The 20,631-nt window shown below is 33.0% G+C and overlaps 1 protein-coding gene across 14 annotated transcripts in view; it reads left to right on the forward strand.

Moving 5' to 3' along the window:
• SLC16A7 (solute carrier family 16 member 7) overlaps positions 1 to 18,393 on the forward strand; it is a 193,813-nt gene extending 175,420 nt beyond the window's left edge. For all 14 annotated transcript variants that reach the window (NR_073056.2, NR_073055.2, XM_011538989.3 and 11 more), the window contains 2 exons: positions 3,209 to 4,027; positions 7,975 to 18,393. Coding sequence is in view for 12 of the 14 variants with exons in the window: in XM_011538989.3 (XP_011537291.1) it covers positions 3,209 to 4,027; positions 7,975 to 8,231 (1,076 nt within the window). In the remaining 2 variants the exon portion in view is untranslated. The remainder of the gene's footprint in view (positions 1 to 3,208; positions 4,028 to 7,974) is intronic.
• Positions 18,394 to 20,631: the final 2,238 nt, after the last annotated feature.

Raw genomic sequence — 20,631 nt, forward strand, 5'->3', positions numbered from 1 at the left:
TTTCTTTGAATTTATTTTTTTATAAACAATGCAGTTTTAAAATATTTTCATCTAGTACATTGAAATTCAAGCTATATAATGGGCAAACATTTCATTTTTAAAAAAATAAAAAATTATCAGACAAGTTACATGTTATCATATAAATTTAAAAAGAAAACAGCTTTAGTTTGCTTTTTTTCCTTTTTTGCTTTTTTCTCTTCAGCCAATGGAGATGGTGTTGTTGGACACAGACTTTCTGATGTAAATAAATACCTTCGTTATTATAAAACTTATTTTCATGACTTATCTGCATTTGCAGTATCTGACTTTCCACTCATAATATGTTAAAACGATGCCAGAGAGATATTTTCTGGATGCACTGATTTAGCTTTAACAATAAAATTATTGTTACTTGTTCTGATTAGTGGTAGAGCTCATTAACCGTGTTCCTTCTTTTTCTTACTGAAATGATCCTGTTTAAAAGCTCAGTGAGCCACACTTTCTTCTAACACAAATATTAAAAATGACCTACTGTCACTTGATGATAGTTGTTTCTCATGCACATATCTATTGACTCAAAATGACCACAATATGTACACCCGGAAAGCACTATTTTTATTAGTCTAAATAAAAAATTGCATTACAAATTTATATTCAACGTATTAGGAAAAATTGGACTTCAATATATAAAGAGACTGAATCTTTTCTTTCTGCCCAGAGATAAAAAGGCAAACATATTTACACTCATGTAATCTTACACTCATGCATCATTTGATGAAAAACATGTATTGAAGCTTACAGTAATAGTGATGTTAAAATCTTTCTCTTTACAATCTATCCACATCTCTCTCCTTTTTTGATATAACAAAATGCATTTAATATTGTAAATGAAAACCGTCTTATATGTAAGCATTATCATAGTGAAGAGAGTGCCTTTTCTTTTGTGTAGAGAAATTGACTACTGCATTTGACTGTAGAAGTCGGGATGCGCCTACAAGTAGGGAAAAGATGATTTTGTTATTTCCTTCACTACAGATATCAATGGCATTATTGGTGTTTCAACTTAGAATTGTATTCCTTTGGCTCTTAAATACTTTGATGCCCCCAAATTCAATTATTAAGTCCATCTATGAGGGATTTACTTTAAATCATTATCAGCAAATACTTTGACTTTGGTTTCCAAAAGTAGACAGATCTAGCATTTAAACTTGATACATATGATCTGTGTGATCATGGGTACGTTAACCTCCTTATACTTTCGTTGTCTATAAAATTAGATAAATAATAGCTCTTTTTAAAGGAGTTATTAGAAAAATGTAAAAAATGAATACGTAGTACTTTAGAGTACCCAGAATTTTGATGATCATAAATAAATATTTGCAAATAATCATAATACCATTTATATAATATCTTACAGTTCTAAAACTTACTTTATTTTGGCAAAATCTTTTTGTGTTGTTAGGTGAAGTCAAGCTCAGGAAGTCTAAGTGTTTTGCCCAGTAATATAAAATAGGTACCTATTTGGAGTAGATCAGTTCTATTGATTTCAAGCCTATGTTTGTTTAACCATGCCAGAATGAGAAAGAGATGGCAACTATTTCCAAATGAAAATATGGATTAAGATTTGAAGGCAAAAGTTCCAGGCGACAGAATGGGGAAAATGATTGATATAAGATTAAAAAAAAAAAAACCTTAAGCTCTGAAACATAATACCTGGATTTTAATTTGGGTTCTTCTACTTACAAGCTACTTGACCATAGGCTGGTCAGTTTTGTTATTTATAAATCGGATTTAATTACACTCATTCTGCATATCTCACAGGTATGGCTGAGGTATAGCGTTAGAGAACATGCTGTCCTGTTACTCTCCAAAGCATGTTCTTGTTCCTTCTTGTCAGCTTTTAGGGGTCCTCTTACTTATAGAAAATGTCTGTATTAAAGGGTTGGAGTATTTGTACACAGACCTGTGTATTTCACAACTGGAATACTTAACCACCTTACAGAACTGTTTCAATCTAGGTAAATTAGTTAATATAGAAGAACTCTTACCTCTCTAGCCCCTAAAATAAATATAGAGTAATTCCTAGTTTAAGGGAAAACAAGAGATAGTTTATATAAGCCCAATTTTATATAAACCAATGTACTTTTTTTTTTTTTGAGACAGAATCTTGCTCTGTCGCCAGGCTGGAGTGCAGTGGCATGATCTCGGCTCACTGCAATCTCCGCCTCCTCAGTCCAAGCGATTCTCTTGCCTCAGCCTACCAAGTAGCTGGGATTACAGGCATGTGCCACCACACCCGGCTAATTTTTGTATTTTTAGTAGAGACGGGGTTTCACCATGTTGGCCAGGATGGTCTCGATCTCCTGACCTCATGATCCATCTGCCCTGGCCTCCCAAAGTGCTGGGATTACAGGCATGAACCACCACTCCCGGCCTAAATCAATGTACTTTTTAAAGGATCTTATTTATTACAATTGCTCAGTAGTGCCTTAGTGAGCTACAAGAGGTAATTTATTTTCCAAAGGTGATACTCAACACTGCCAAGGAACTCCCTAGACAGTGGGACTTTGGCTCATATAAACAATCAGTGTTAATCCCTGAATTAAAACTATGTTTCAAGCAAAAACCTCCTTTTTACTTAGCACACAAGTGCATCTATATACATTAAATGTGGACTGTGAGGGATGTACAGCATGAAATTTTTGTTATTTGCATAGTATTGAAACAAATGTTTGTGGGGAGACATAAGATTGTTACAAATTACGACCTTTTTAGTCTGTTTATAATTCTTCAATGCCGAAAGGAAAGTATTCATTTTTATATTGCCCTCTTGCTCACAAGGAAGAAATCTATTCTATATATGTGTATATAAGTATATGTCAAGAGGAAAGGATCTGAGGAATTAAATGATTTTAATTGAGAACTAATAATTTTGTCCTAGTTTCAACCTATTGTACGACTGTTGATATATCAGTAGAAATTCTCAATTTCATTTTTGTGCTTTAAAATTAAAGGAATTAAACTTGAAATGAAACTGTCGTTTCAAGTGTTCAGTTATGAAAACCTTATTGTTTTGTGCAATTACATTTATAATAATCAAAATGTACTATATGATATTGCGTTTTTAATTCTGCCTTTCCCACTTGAATGTACATTTTGAGGAGTAATTTCTTTTGTGAGTGCCATAATGTGTTTGTGTTTTCCCCCACTTTTGTTTTGTTCTTTTTAGGTTTAGGTTTAGCCTTCAACCTGCAACCCGCCTTAACCATAATTGGCAAATACTTCTATAGGAAGCGACCCATGGCAAATGGATTGGCCATGGCAGGAAGTCCTGTTTTCTTAAGTTCATTGGCTCCTTTCAATCAGTACCTTTTTAATACTTTTGGCTGGAAAGGAAGCTTCCTGATTTTGGGAAGTCTACTTTTGAATGCCTGTGTGGCTGGTTCCCTCATGAGACCCCTTGGACCCAATCAAACCACTTCTAAGTCTAAAAATAAGACTGGCAAAACAGAAGATGATTCAAGCCCAAAGAAAATCAAAACGAAGAAATCAACTTGGGAAAAAGTTAATAAGTATTTAGATTTCTCCCTTTTTAAGCATAGAGGATTTCTGATATATCTGTCTGGAAATGTCATTATGTTCCTAGGTTTTTTTGCCCCCATTATATTCTTGGCTCCATATGCTAAAGACCAAGGAATTGATGAGTACTCGGCAGCTTTTCTGCTATCTGTTATGGCTTTCGTTGATATGTTTGCTAGGCCTTCTGTAGGATTAATTGCAAACTCCAAATATATTCGACCTCGAATTCAGTACTTCTTCAGTTTTGCAATCATGTTCAATGGAGTGTGTCACCTCTTGTGCCCACTGGCACAGGACTACACAAGCCTGGTATTATATGCTGTATTTTTTGGCCTTGGATTTGGGAGTGTTAGCAGTGTTCTCTTTGAAACTCTCATGGACCTCGTGGGTGCACCAAGATTTTCCAGTGCCGTCGGACTTGTCACAATTGTGGAGTGTGGCCCAGTTCTTCTTGGCCCTCCTCTTGCAGGTAAGAACGTTTTTCATCAAGGAAAATGTAAAGCATAAAATTAATATCCATTAACGGAGACTTTATATACAGATGTTTAAATGTGTTTTATAATAATACTAATAGCCTGAAGGAATATGGGCAGGTTAATTTTAGGTTTTATTATAAACTTTAAAATTTCATAATTAGTCAATTTTAGAACTAAATTTGTTTCAGAACCTGGACCTGTGAACTTAAGAACTTATGTTAGACTGATAATTAGTAACATAATCTTCAGGATTTTTATCTACTTCAGTTGTTTTGGTCTCTTAAAAATATATCAGAAAAAAATGCTATTTTATCTTTATCATTGGTGAACAGATCTCTCGTCTGTTTATATTGAAATGAGCCAAAATTGTAAAATATTCTCTCAAAAGGTCAGAATCTATTTTTTAGTTGAGTACATTGGATATATTAATTTGAAATTTGTTACATGCTGAGAAAATACATTTATAATATCACTGATAAGAATATATTCATGTATCTATTCCATATAGAGAAAGACAGGGATGACCGAAAATTTATTCACAGTTTTTTTGAGGGCCACTCATGTTCCATGTTTATAAATTGGAAAGATTACCTTCAGATTTTAAGATCTGAAATATTTTCAAAGATGCCAATAAAAGTGTCTGTGCTAAATTATTCAGTAAAAAGATGCAGTACATGTTTAGAGCATGACCAAAGAATACCCTCACAAATTGAGAAGCTGGTCTAATACTTGAGAGAGAGAGAGAGAAATAGATAAAATGTACATTACAGAAGCATTAGATTTTTGTTGGAATTGCTTGTGGTTATTTTATAGTTTCCTTCTGAATTACAGTGGTGAATGCTTTTAGAAGTAAATTATGCCTTCTGAACTTATGGTTTAAAGACATGTATCAGAGCATTTTGAAGTTAAAACTTTGTTTAGTCTTAGACTTTAAATGTTATAAATATTACATTCTGTTTGTGCACCAGCCTTTGCCAGCAACCAATGTATATTGTTTTGGTTAATACCGGACTTAAGTATTCACTTAGACTCTTGGCCTGCTCTCTCATGGTCAGAGTCATTGCCAGGCTAAATGTAAATTTTTCCATTATTTAGTCAGTTTTTAAACTGTTTTCTACATGACATCAAGGAACCATTCTGAAAGTGTGAAAAGTTATGTTTAATTTGTTAATTTTAATGACATCATTGACCTTTTGTCTCTTCATTTTTTTTTCACTTGGTTAGGAATGTATCAGTCGGCTCTAAGACCTAGGTGGTGTGGTTGTTGTCTTTCTCTGTCCACCAGGGCTATCCTATGGTATCTAGCACAGGTGTTTTAGGTGGTATATCTCTCAATATAAATATACCATGACATCAAAACAATTGTCAAAAGAGAGTGAAAGCCAGTAGGTCTTGTTATTTATCAGGCAGTTGATTTTGTTACATAAGATAAGCACAATTGGTCCTTCTTTTCATACGGAATTAGTTTGATCAACTGAGTTTTAGAGCCTATTCTTATCCACACAATTCTTAGTGTAAACAGAGAAGTTACCATGCATGAGGGGATGAAAAAAGAATCAAGTCCAAATACATAGTGGGGATAGACTCTAAGAATTAAAATAAAGGAATCTTATTTGGCCACTCCCACCTGAGCAGATAATGTGCATTAATATTTTTAAAAAACAGTTTCAATATTTTTGAATGCTTATTGTGTTAACATTGCCAAACCATGTGCCACTGGCAGCAAATGGCAATAATTGATTTTAGACCTATTGTTGAAACTCTCAGACTGTAGCCATTATATATCCATTTTTTCATTCCATGTCTGCCATCTGCTACCCGTAATATTTCTTGACTTTTAGATTGGCTTCTTCTCTATAGTATTTGATTATCGCTAGAACTGCTGGCCCATAGTAGGCACTGAGTTAATATTTTTGAATGATTGAATATTATTGCTGTTACGTCTTACATAGTTGCAGCACAGCAGTGAAAAGTAGGGAGTGTGTGGTTTCTATTTCATATTTGTTTTTTTCAGACTGAACTTTCACTGCTCCTCTCAGAAAGAATTGAAGCTTTAGTTCTGGAAAGCATATCTGGTTTCTTGATGATGCTAAAAAATTCTTTTTTTTTTCTTATTAGAGGTATTAGGCTAATTATTATTTAATCCTTAAAATATTTCTTTTATTATTTTTTATTTTATTATTATTAGACTTTAAGTTTTAGGGTATATGTGCACAATGTGCAGGTTAGTTACATATGTATGCATGTGCCATGCTGGTGTGCTGTACCCATTAACTCGTCATTTAGCATTAGGTATATCTCCTAAAGCTATCCCTCCCCCTCCCCCCACCCCACAACAGTCCCCAGAGTGTGATGTTCCCCTTCCTGTGTCCATGTGTTCTCATTGTTCAATTCCCACCTATGAGTGAGAATATGCAGTGTTTGGTTTTTTGTTCTTGCGATAGTTTACTGAGAATGATGATTTCCAGTTTCATCCATGTCCCTACAGAGGACATGAACTCATCATTTTTTATGGCTGCATAGTATTCCATGGTGTATATGTGCCCCATTTTCTTAATCCAATCTATCATTGTTGGACATTTGGGTTGGTTCCAAGTCTTTGCTATTGTGAATAGTGCCGCAATAAAAAATTCTTAAAACATTTAGAAAGTATGCTGATGTGGCAGCCCAAAGTGGTATTAACTCTGATGGGCCATGGACCTAATGCTTTTATATTTAGAAGTATAATAATCATTGTAGAAATAGAAATATTTGACTCAAGTTAAGAAGGCAAATTAAAATTATGCCATTTTTGTTATGTTTATGACTATGTCATGCTTACTTAAATAAACCCATTATACCATCTACCTGATTAAAACAGAAAATTTTGTTTAAATAGGTAATATATTACAAGTAGCCAAATTTAATGTTGAGCCACTGACTAGATTCTAGGGAGAATGCTATGGATTCTGACTAAACAGACTGGTTTGAAAGTTGTATATCAGAATCACTTGGAATGCATATGCTAATTTATATAGATTTGTATACACTAAATTTTGCTGCTGTTAATAATTACGAAGAATTAGATGCCTGCATAAGCAAGAGACAAAACTAAATATAAGCTGACAAAATTTTAAAAGTCAATTAACCTTCATATTAAATGGCACCAGGCTAGATTTTAAATGGTCTCAATAATCAAGTGGAATAGTTTTTTTACTGATTAGTTTCACCTTAATAATTTAGACTCAGATAAAGTGAAAAACTAGGATTAGCTCAAATAGTGACATGGCACTTAAACAACAGGTTAGGTGAAGCCATTCTGCAGAGTAGTTAAGAATGAGTACAGACAGACCTCAGTTAAGAGTCTAGATTCTACCACTAACTAGCTACATAACCATGCCCAGATTACTTCACAGTACTCCTTGTAAGGATCAAGTGAGCTATTACAGATAAAATTCTTAGGCTAGTATGGGGCATAGAGAAAGCACTTAGTAAATATTAGACACTGTTAGGAACCATGTAAAAGCCTTTGGGTTTCTCCTAAAGAAAGTAATTTTTCTCTATTGAAGAGAAAAGGAAGCATGGAAAGGGTGAAGCAATCCTAACGTGTGCTGTAAATAGAGATATCTATATTCACATGTATAGATATAAAAATATACCTCACTCATGTATGTATTAATATATACACACAAAAAATGCCTAGTTTGTCTTGTTTGTATATTTTACTGAGAGAAATAATTTTTAGTAAATTTAATGTACTAGTAATATAATACTGTAAGTGTCTCTGCATACCTTTACTAAGCATATGTAGAAGTCATAATCTAGATTTTTTTATTTTTAAAGTCTTATTTGACATTAATTTAAATAAGAGGAATATACTTTGAAGAATAATTTATTTGAATTTTTATCATTATATGACTGTTTTATTATGCCAACTTAAAAGATGTTCTTTGTCTTCTAGGTAAATTGGTGGATTTAACTGGAGAATATAAATACATGTACATGTCCTGTGGGGCTATTGTGGTAGCAGCAAGCGTGTGGCTGCTCATTGGCAATGCTATCAACTATAGATTGCTTGCAAAGGAAAGGAAGGAGGAAAATGCAAGGCAGAAGACCAGAGAATCTGAACCCTTGAGCAAATCTAAACATTCGGAAGATGTTAACGTCAAAGTTTCAAATGCACAGAGTGTAACCTCAGAAAGAGAAACTAACATTTAACAAGAATCACATCTCTGATTTCAGTGTTTATGACTTTATCTAGGAGTTTGTTTTTCATTTTGTTTTTTTAAAGTATTAGAAAAGGTTTTAGCTGAAATGAGGAGTCACAATTAAGGATGGAGGTGATATTTTCCTCAATGGCAAATTTTAAATTAGTTTTTAAAAACTTACTTATTTGGGTAGTTAAATTTTGAGATTATGCATAGAAAGAATCCATGCTATAGGTTTATTTCCATACCTGACTCTGGGTGTGGTGGTTAAAATACTAATTTTAAAGTCTTCCAGTGACTTTCGGTCTTGGTTATATGGAGAATTCTGAATCCCAAACCCCTGGTTTAAGTAGGTAGAAGGAGGATGCCTAATCCTACAAAGTGACCCTTTATACATTTCATTTTTTATTTGATATTAAAGTATGAGATAGAGTTGAGAGACAATTAATTATCCCCTCTTACACACAAACACACATACTCCCACATACTTACCCACATGTACACAGAGTATCTGGAGAATAAAACCCAAATTCAAAAAAAAAAATGATAATTTATTTTTAAGGTAAAAATAATCCATGAAGATAAAAGAAACATATGTCTGCGTGCTACTTTACAATGTTGGTTTTAAAGATAAGCACATGGGTAAAAATGAGGGTGATCCTTATTCAAAAATAACATCTGACTACTATAAAAATATTTGCATATATAAGTTTGACAAAGAAAAGAAAATCAATGTTAAACCATTAAATCTGAGCACTGTTAGACTTGATTAATCCATGCACATGATTTTTTTTGAGTAGGGAGCATTAGTACCTGGTGCTAGAGAATAGAACCCTCAAATAATTTTTAGAATTCTTACCTAATATGTAAAAGTCTGCATGACTCTTAACAATGAGTCACATCCATTGATTTTACAGGGATTTTAGTTCGTAATCCAGAAAGTAATAATCAGGGATTTTATTTTAATCAGGCATCAATCCAGATTCACTGTTATACTGAAATATCAAAGTAAAATCCTAGTTGGCAGGATTGTAAGTAGACCGAATTCTAATTTTTCCCAACACATAGTGGTAATTGGAGGTTACTGTTATGAATACTCCATCTGACTACGACTAAGAGAGTGAGGGGTGGTTTTAATGAACCCTCTAAGCTCTCTCAGTTCCTTCCCTTCCACAAAATGCAAGAGCAAAAGCAAACTACAAACAGGCCTTGTGCTCAACCACTGGAAATGCCTCCTGGGATAAGAATGGCAGCACTTGAAAATTCTGCCCTCTACTGATGAGACTTCCTGCTGCCTTTGGACATAACTAAGCCAGGAAACTTTAAAAGCCTTCTAGAAATAGAGGCACTGTATGACTTGCAATCGTAGGTATAGTTTATAACCTGATAGCAAAAAACTTGAAATATTGCAGCCCAGTTTAATTCAGCACTTTCCCATTTTCATAACTATGTGAAAACATCTGGGAATTTGAATCACTCCTGAATACAGAGGCATATTCTTTTTAAACTATAAATACCATTTTGAGTGAGAAAGTACTTTTAAACAAGAAAGAAATTGTACATTATGACTAAAGTTATAAATACAATATTTATATCTATAAATCTGAAGTTTAACATGATTAATTTAAAAAGTATTTAGTGCTTGACAAAGTAGTGTCACTCTTAAGATGTCAAAGGGAATTAGCCATTTTTTTTATTGTAATAAAGGCAGGTGCTATTTTTTTCTGGTGAGATTGCACCTGGATACCAGGCTTTTGTAATAGTTAACATTAAACATTTGATTCATAAAGTTAATTCACTGCTTAAGCATGTGGCTCATATTTAGGAAGCTATATAAAATTCAGTTTTTCATTTAACATTTGCTCTTTTGCATATGAAGAGATATTTGTATTTTTCAAATGTTAAGTAAAACAAGATGTGCCAATATCATAGGTAAATAAATTAGGGAAAATGTGGGACTTTATGGCTGTTTTTAATTTAGTTTCACCCGATCTTGATTCTTGAATTAGCTATGTTTATATTTTTAGTTCTTTTTTATTCAACTCAGATTTGTCAAGAAATGTAACCTCTAAATTGTGTAGTACCTCTCCAATCATAAATTTTCAAAAAAAAATTCTACTTTCCAAAAAGTGTCTTGAATTCTCTGAAAAGGCACATTAAACTAATATGAACATCAGATACCAGGGGGAAATAAATGGCAAAGTAATAATCATGAGGTTTTAGGTCAAAGACTACATTATATATATTTTTTATTACCTTCTAGTAGAGACATCCTCCTGGGTGCATTTCAGTGGCCTTCTCCAGGGAGGAGGTTTATTTACTTACTGATGAGTTTCTCGTCACGTCAAAACCAGTTCACATTTGTCTGGCTGCTCTTTGGTTGTCTTCATTCGTTATTTATTTCTAACACTGTATTAAATTGTTAGAAAAGAAAGTAAAACTTGCACATTCAAAGCACATGATTTGTACAGTCACACCTGGCAGTAGCACTGCACAGTTACAAATATGCACACACGTTAACTGCTATGCATAAATATTGACAGTTAAACCAGAACACAATTGAAACAGTGACATAAATACCTACAGGATTCAGAATTGTTCCAGGGTAATATAAATTATTCTACTTGTTCACTCTCCCCACCCTCTTGAACTTGTTAGAAGATTTGCTGCTTTAGCAGAATCTTTCCAAGATTGAGAAAAGTGTATCAACCTAGGATTTTCATTACTATATAGTCACATAAATGGAGGAGGAGATATATTTGGCTTCTGCCTCTGCAACAATTAGTATGAACATATTTCTTTCTCTAGGGAATAATAGGTTTTAAACATTTGAGATATCATGAAGCAAAGTCAGGGTATACCACTACAATCCCCACTAATCTCTATTCCCACATTATGAAATTGTACAGAAGAAAGGGTGTCATTAAATCAAGGTATCCAGATAATTCATGGCTACTTTAACTATTTTTTCATTCGTGTTAACTGAGCCCCCCATATTTTTTACTACTTAACCTTAAATATGCCATCACTAATTTATGAATAGAACATTGTGTTTGCACTTTTCCTGACCTATCCTCACCCCCTTTCCTGATCCTTTTTGCATTCACCTAGCACACCTTAAGAGACAAAAAATCAGGTTTTAGTGTATTTCACATTGGAAGACATGATGTTTTCTCAGTATAAATCTACAGGACTCATAAACAATCACTTTTTTGGTGCCAAGTTTCAACCCTTTAGCTCATGGACTCATTGGCCTCAGCCTAATACTAAGAAACAAGTAAAATAATTAGATTTTCTATGTTTGAATGTGCACTTTAAAAAATCTAGATAATTTATACTCATTCTTTTCTGGCTGTACAACATGACAATCAAGAATATAGAAAAGAAGACTAAAAGATATATGATATAAATGTAAGTTTTTATGTAGATGACATAAATATGAAGAGATATTCTTGGTCAGTTGGTTGAAACATTTTTTATCTAAAACACCTTTAAAAAATCCCTTTCATATGTAGAATGTGGAAGGCTTTTAATAAAACAAAAATTATTATTTTTAGGCTTAATTTAATAGGGAGATTGGATGCATAGTGGAAAGGGAACTAATATTTATATGTTATGCATTTTGCTTATGTAATGCCTTTCAATATGAAAACCAAAACCATGGCAGAATTATTACTAGCTTGATATGACAGATGAGTGAAAACAAAAAACAAGCTCAGCAGACTACCCAAAGTTAAAAGGTAGTATGAACCAAAATTAAAACTCAGGTTTACGTAACCAGAAAGATCCCCGAGGTGTTCACTACCGTGCTGCCTCCCAATAGAGGCCAGAGAAGCAAAGGAAGATAAAATATAGGTACAAAAAAGATACATCCTATATAGTAAAACAATTAGGTTTAACTGTAACTTGTATTATGATTTATTTAGTGTTTATTAGAGAACTGCATTTGCTAGAACCTGAATATGTAATTTCTTTCTTTCTTTCTTTTTTTTTTTTTTTGAGACTGAGTCTCGTTCTTGTCGCCCAGGCTGGCGTGCAGTGGCACAATCTCGGCTTACTACAACCTCTGCCTCCCAGGTTCAAGCAATTCTCCTGCCTCAGCCTCCCGAGTAACTGGAATTACAGGCATGTGCCACCATGCCCGGCTAATTTTGTGGCTTTTTTTGTTTTGTTTTGTTTTGTTTTGTTTTAGTAGAGATGGGGTTTCTCCTTGTTGGTCAGGCTGGTCTTGAACTCTGACCTCAGGTGATTCACTCGCCTCTGCCTCCCAAAGTGCTGGGATTACAGGCGTGAGCCACTGCGCCCAGCCTTGAATATGTAATTTCTGATTGCCTGCTTTTCTCCCCAATGCAAATTATCTCAAATAATGATAATTATTACATATAGACATAATTACTTCAATATGACTCTTTTTCTCATAAAAATAATGACATATTTGAGTCAGGCATAATACATTTTTTCTGAGGTTGGAGTTAGCAGGAAAATGTTATCTTTTATGAATAAATAATTCCCAGATTGGTTGCTACATATCATGATTCAAAAAGTAAAATAATTACCTGGATGTGGTGATGTGCACCTGTAGTCCCAGCTACTCGGGAGGCTGAGACGAGAGGGTCATTTGAGCCCAGGAAGTTGAGGCTTCAGTGAGCTATAATGGCCCCACTTGCAGTCCAGCCTAGGCAATAGAGTGAGAATCTGTCTCTATTAAAAAAAAAATAAAATGTTCTTACTAGAAAACATTATATTTAGAATTTTAGTGATTATTCCATTTATAATATTATCCGTAGCTACCAAAAAAAAGATTATAAGATACAAATGATTTGGTTTACCCATACAGTTACATATTAATTTTCATCATTTAATACAACTTACCCTACACCGTAGCTTATTTTTCAAGTTTCTCTGAACATCTTTGTTGTCATTCACCTCTTTGTCTATTTGTTCTGTAGAGAAAACAAGTGTCATTGCTTTTGTCTTCTCCATCTAGACTTTTGCAGTCCTTAGACTATAGTTCTCCTTAGCTCTATTCAAATAGTGCACTTGCAAGGCGCTGCATTCTTCTCAAAGTCAGCCATGATGCACATATTTATAATTACATACACATATAATTGAATATGATTTTAGAGTCTTGAAAAACTGATCTTCTTTGGCACTATCCTGAATGTTTCTGATTTTCTTAAAGTGCCTGACAATATTGAGTAACAAAGCTTACCATCACCACATTGCACCATTATGTATTATTCTGTCTCCATCAATGCAGTGACATCACTGATACATCATACCAACAAGATTTCTAACCACAACCATTCAGAGCACTAATTAGCATCTATATTGAGAATATAAGATTAATATTACAAACTTGACTTTACTCATCTCTCTTTAAGATTTTGATTTCTGCACAACCATATGCAGAACTCATGTTTGAGAAGGCACTTAAAAGCTGAAAGGCCCAATTATCAGTAATTATAATGCTTGCATGATCAAAATTACAAATTATCTTTGTTGATACAATTAAAAATGAGTAATTTTCTGAGCTTATGTCACTTTTTTATAGTTCTGATTTTCTCTTCTTTCCTATCAGTTGTTTGTACACTGGAGATTTTAGCTCTTTACAGGGTGCTACAATCTGGTTTATTTTAGTCTTCTCTCCTCTACTGCTTTTTCTTCACTTTAATTCATTTATGTGCAAATCAGGGAAGAATTGCTGTAGTATTGAGAATGGTCATTTTAAAAGTCTCTACCTTAAGAGCAAAATTAATATTGCAAAATGAATTTTTGATTTTACAGAAGCATATGGGAATTTAGATCAAATTACATCTCCCATCCCAATCTCCTGCTTCTTCATCATCTCCTAAATGTTTTCCTTTCTATGTTTTTATAATATCTAGGTAAAACTTGTTTAGCATTTTTTATTTAATTATGGACATATTTAGTATGGACTTTTGTTTCTTTGGTATAGTTAGTTACACTTGTTTGCATGATCTACATGTTTTTCAGTCTCCATATATACTTGTTAATAAGGTGAGCAATATTCAGGAATATTTCAGTAGGCAATTAATGATCATAAATTTATTCACATTTCAGTAAATATTTTTCACATGATCAAACAGGATTTTTTGTTTCTTTTTAATTTAAATATGGCAAAATAAGCTAGAGAATCTCAGTGTGAAAACACTGATACTGAACATTCTATTAAAATAGAATAAGTTCGTGTAGGGACATGGATGAAATTAGAAATCATCATTCTCAGTAAACTATCGCAAGAACAAAAAACCAAACACCGCATATTCTCACTCATAGGTGGGAACTGAACAATGAGAACACATGGACACAGGAAGGGGAACATCACACTCTGGGGACTGTGGTGGGGTCGGGGGAGGGGGGAGGGATAGCATTGGGAGATATACCTAATGCTAGGTGACGAGTTAGTGGGTGCAGCGCACCAGCATGGCACATGTATACATATGTAACTAACCTGCACATTGTGCACATGTACCCTAAAACTTAAAGTATAATAATAATAAATAAAATAAAATAAAATAATAAAAATAAAAATAAAATAGAATAAGTTGATAAAAGCTCCTCTGTTCAGAAAAACAAAAGAATGGCATTTTATCTCACATAAATTTAGGATGAAATTTTAAAACATTCTTTTGACTAAGACTTTAATTCTTATATGCATCTAAAATAAATGTTTTGAGTTAGACTCAGTTTATATAGCTTCCTCGTTAGAGTACACATTTTTTTTCTCATCCTCCGAATCTCAAGAGTACATATTTCTGACAAGCTTTTCAATGGTACGATGGATTTTATTTTTCTATCATCAACTTTCTATATTTAACTAAAGCATTAGTATTTCTAGATTTAGTGAAATAGCAAATATGAATTAAAATATTTATTTCTAAACATTAGATCTAATTGTATTTTGATTTGTTTTGATATATTTATGTCTCAGAAGATATGTTTAATGAATTCATTTCATCCTCTCAACCCTCAGTTTTGATAGGTATCCACATTTTTACCATATAAAACTAGACTGGATTAAGGATTTTGCCTAAACCTATACCAATACTCTGAATAAATGCAGGGTTGGAGATAGAATTCAGGTCTTTTAACTTCTAACACACTTTTTTCTCCATTGCACTACAGAAGCCGTAAGGTCATAATGATGATCTTTGTAGAGTAAATAAAATATTTTCCTAGAAATATATATAACAACCCTACTTGATAGTTTATAGCCCAAATGAATATATTTTTCCAATCATGGTTTGCAAAATCATGTTTGCAAACTTACTTTGAAGACTATTTCCTGATTGCCACGGCAGATAATTCGTGGCAAATCAGAAATAATATTTAGTGAGATTAATTATTTTGCACAATATATGTTGTTATAGCAATATCAAAATCATTTAAAACATCAATATTGTATTAATAGAAAACATGTCAATATCTCATTAATTCCTTTTTTATTTTATGTTCCTTTTTATTTTAGAAGCAGTGTTCATTTTTTTCTGAAGTAGAACGCCAGAGCACAGAACACACAGTTCAAGTTTAAATTATTAAATTGTATGCAAGAAATTATTGCCATAGCATAGTCTTGAGGAGAACACCTCTACAGTATTTCTTGATCTAAGAACCTGAACATATGTTAATGAAATTATTAGAGTAAGTTCTATCTCAAAAATTTCTTATTTTATGAATGTTTTCTTCACCTAATAAACAATACTAAAATCCATAACAGCTGTCTGGCAACAGTGTAATTAGAGCTTCTTTTATGTTAGAGATTCCATCTACCTCTGCATCTTATCTAGCTAGATACAGTCTTTCTAAACTTTCTCCTTTATTCCCATGTAGAGAACAAACAAAAATCACACCTAAATTAAAGATCTGTGGTGAAGGGGAAGAGGGGTTGCTATTAGGAGTTTTCCCGGTAAAACTGTAAAAACAGTAATCTGCATTCAGTATTTGTTTGCCTAGTTCATCAAGATATTTACCCTAAAAACACATTTTAATAAAAATTTGGGTAAACTCATGTATCGCAGTAAAATCTTTTATGAATTGGGTGGGCCCTAAAAACATCTGTAGTACGTGATGTGTTTGGTTAGATTCAGCCAAACCGACACCCGTATGCTAAGACTGCATTGTCATTCTGACAGGAGGCAGGCCTCAGTAGTTGCAGTGAGTGCATTTACTAATATAAGGATCCTTCTTTGTAGTGACAACAAAAATGAGATTGTAACTTAATCAAATATGAGTCAGATATAGTAATTCCTGATATTGCAGATGAAAGAGCAGGGTCTTTTCAAGTGCTTGCTACAACTGACTAAATTTGAAGCTTTTTATGTAAAAGTTCTTCTCCCAGATATTTTAAACCAGTATGTTAATTATTTCCTAGAATGAATAATTCTCCTTTTTTGATAGATTTTTGAAATTGTTTTACTTACTACTTACATACTTTGAACAAATATGTTTTTCTAATCCCAGCATTAAATTGAAACAAATATTTAAAATAAGATTGTTGGAATAAAAGTTATAGATAGTCACTTGTTGCTAATAAAAGACATTCCTTGGCAACAGCCACATCCAGCTAACTTTTGCAAGAATTTTTTAAGGGATTAGATTTAGGGGTTAATGTTTAGAATTATTTTTAAAATATAAATTATATTTTAGGCTGTATTTTTGTGATTTTTAAGTGAAAAAAATAAAATGTAGTTGTCTTGTTTATTCTATAGATATCTTAATGACCACTGAACAAATGATCATATTGCCACATGGTCTATCAACTATGGTTACTATGATAGTGAAATAAAGAGGATAGTTTTGCTTGACACCTAAATGATCCAAACAGTTGTTTTTACATGACTTAAATCATGGCTGTATTATTTCATTTTTAAAGAAAATAAAGTATAAAATAATACATTTAAAATACCTGTCAAAGTTTTAAAATATAAGATAGAACCTTCTTTTTTTGCCTTCTTACACATGAATGTACTTAAAGTATTGTTATGTGATCTTGGGATACTTATTTATTTTTGAAATTTTTGTATATATAGCATTTCTGAACTTAGCAAATAATATGTGTAAAGGAATTAACCAAAAATGAAAGAACTGGCATTTTCATATGGATACATATTTTGCTTAAACTAAATAAAATAACTTAGATTTATTTAAATCAGGAATATTTTACGTTGTTGATCATTTTTAAAGTATATTTTGTTCAAATATTCCTAATTTGTTTTTCAGCACACTTGTTTAAGTTCTTGCCTTTCAGGTATACTACAGCGTTATATGAACATAATGTTTTAAAAAAATCTTGGTTGTAGTTTCTAATTTTCACTGCATAACAAATTTGAAACCAAATGTTGAATTTCTCTGTGAGGGTACTTATTTTGCCTACAGTTTCAAATATATTTTCAAATTCATCTCTTTCTTACTAGACTGTGAGCTCCTTGTGGACAAGGATGTTATTTTAGTTATAATGACAACTTTAATATCTAGCAAAGTGCCAGGCATAGAGTATTCCTTTATTGAAATGAATTGATAGATATTGATTATTAAAATGCTACTACAGTATTCTACGATGCAGGCTGAATGTATATTACAGTAATTCTCTGGCTAATTTTAAAAGTAAGACATAGAAAACAAAACACCTGTAGCATTTTCTTTATTTAAAATTGAAACTCTGTTTTGAATCCTTTTTATTTTGTCAAACATTCTATGCAAATATTGAAATATGCAACAGCTAAACTTTATGGTACATATTAATTAGTTTTATTTTCTTTTCAAAATCAGAAATGCTGTATTTAAGCTTCCTGGAAATGTCGACAATCATTTTAATGACCAAAGGTGCTACTTATTTTTCAACATTGACCTTGATCATAAGTGCTTCTATCTGCTGAGCTTTATTTATTGTTTTTGGACAGAAAGTTTGGTGGGAAGGTTGCAATAAAATCAGAATCTCTCTTGTCTGAATTATGCAGTTTAACCCTGTCCATGTTCCTCTGTACTCTATTCTTACTGTATTTTAGTTATTGTTTCTTACTTATCACTAATTTTTACTGCAGGTCTGTGCTGTTTCTTAGAAAGTACATGCATATATATTTCTATAATATGTAAGAAAAAACCTGTATTGCTTATTAAATTAAAATTAAAATAAAAAAATTCATGTTAAATTTTTGAAATGAAATCTATACTACATATTCTTAAGGGCCATTAAATGCTGTTACTCTATGCTAATCAAAACATAATTTTCCACACCAGACCAAATTAAGGGCATTTCTTTTGTCTGAATGGACATAATTGACAATGTCAATAGAAGTCAGACACGGCCAAAAATACAATGAATTCCTAAGGGCTCAAATGAATTTTTACTGTTGTTTTTCGTGAGTATACATTTTAATAGATTTATACAGAGTAAACAAACGGAGTTCAAAAAGAGAACATTACTGGCATCACAGAAGATCCCCTCAAACCCCTTCCCAGCCTATTCTTGTTCTCTGGACTTTTTGTAAAAATAGACCATTTTTTTTAGAGCAGGTTTATGTTTACAGCAAAATTGAAAGTCCAAGGATTTTCCATACACCCCTTGCCCCAACACATGCATAGCCTCCCTAATTATCAACATGACTCCCCACCCCGGCCCCTCGAGTGGTAAATTTGTCACAATTGATGAACCTGTATTGACACATTGTTACTCAAAGTTCATAGTTTTTACATTAGGGTTCACTTTTGGCATGGTGCAGTAGTTTCAGTGCACTGGAACTCTGTACGCAAAATAGTCATCCCAATCCCTTAAACCCTGGTAACCACTGATTACTATCTCCATAGTTTCGACTCTTTTCAACGTTATTTAGTTAGAATCATACTGAATGTAGTCCTTTCACCTGGCTTCTTTCACTTAGGAATATGCATTTAAGTCTCCTCCATGTATTTTCATGGCTTCAAAGCTTACTCTTTTCTAAAGTTGAGTAATATTCCATTGTCTAGATGTTCCAATCTAGATGTCCTACTTCAGTAGGACATCTCAGTTGTTTCCAGCTTTTGGCAATTACTAATAAAGCTGCTTATAAACATCCTTGTGCAGGTTTTGTTTGGACATAAGTTTTTAACTCCTTTGCATAAATACCAAGGAGTATGATTGCTGGATTGTATGGTGAGAGTATGTTTGGTTTTATAAAAAGCCATCAAGCTGTCTTTTGAAGTGGCTGTACCATTTTGCATTCCCACCAGCTTTGAATGAGACTTTCTGTTACACCCTCTCCAGCATTTGGTATCATCAGTGTTCTGGGTTTTGGCCATTCTAATACGTGTGTAGTATCTTATTGCTGTTTACTTCCCTACTGATATATGACGTAAAACATCTTTTCATATGTGAATTTGCCATCTGTATATATTCTGGGTTGAGGTGTTAGTCTAGAGTTTTGGTCAATTTATAAATTGGGTTGTTAGTTTTCTTACTGTTTTAAGAGTTCTTTGTATATTTTGGATAACAGTCTTTTATCAGATATGTCCTTTGCGAATATTTTCTTCCAGTGTGTGGCTTTTCTTCTTATTCTCTTGACAGTGTTTTTGGGGAGGCAGAATATTTTAATTCTAATGAAGTCCAGCTTGTCAATTCTTTCTTTCTTGGATTGTGCCCTTGGGTTGGCATCTAAAAAGCCATTGCCAAACCCTTAATCATCTCGATTTTCTCTTCTGTTATCTTCCAGGAGTTTTATATGTTTTTGTTTTTTACATTTAGATCTGTGATCCACTTTCAGTTAATTTTTGTGAAAGATTTAAGGTCTGTGTCTACTTTCATTTTTCTTTTTTGTTTTTACATGTGAGTGTTCAGTTGTTTCAGCACCATTTGTTGAAAAAATTTTCCTCCATAGCATTCTGTTGCCTCTATTGCTCCCATTGTCAAAGATCAGTTGACTATATTTATGTAGGTCTATTTCTGTACTCTCTATTCTGTTTCCTTGATCTGTTTGTTCATCCTTTTGCCAATACCACACTGTTTGCTTTACAGTGGCTTTATAGTGATTCTTGATGTCAGGTAGTGTTAGTCCTTCAACTTTATTCTTCTTCAATATTGTGTTGGCTATTCTGGGCTTTGCCTCTTCATTTAAACTTTAGAAATAGTTTATTTATATCCACAAAATAACTGGCTAGGATTTTGCATTGAGTTACAACATTCTCCTTTAGCTCAGCAAGTTCCTTAGTATCCACCTTCTGAAGCCTACTTCTGTCAGTTCAGCCATCTCAGCTCTAGCGCAGTTTTGTGCCTTTGCTGGAGAGGTGTTACAGTCATTTGAGGGAGAGAAGGCATTCTAGCTTTTTGAGTTTTCAATGTTTTTACATTGATTCTTTCTCATCTTTGTGGGCTTATCTACCTTGTATCTTTGTGATTGCTGACCTTTGAATGGAGT

Source organism: Homo sapiens, chromosome 12, assembly GCF_000001405.40.
Source record: "Homo sapiens chromosome 12, GRCh38.p14 Primary Assembly".
In the NCBI taxonomy this organism is placed as follows: Eukaryota; Metazoa; Chordata; class Mammalia; order Primates; family Hominidae; genus Homo; species Homo sapiens.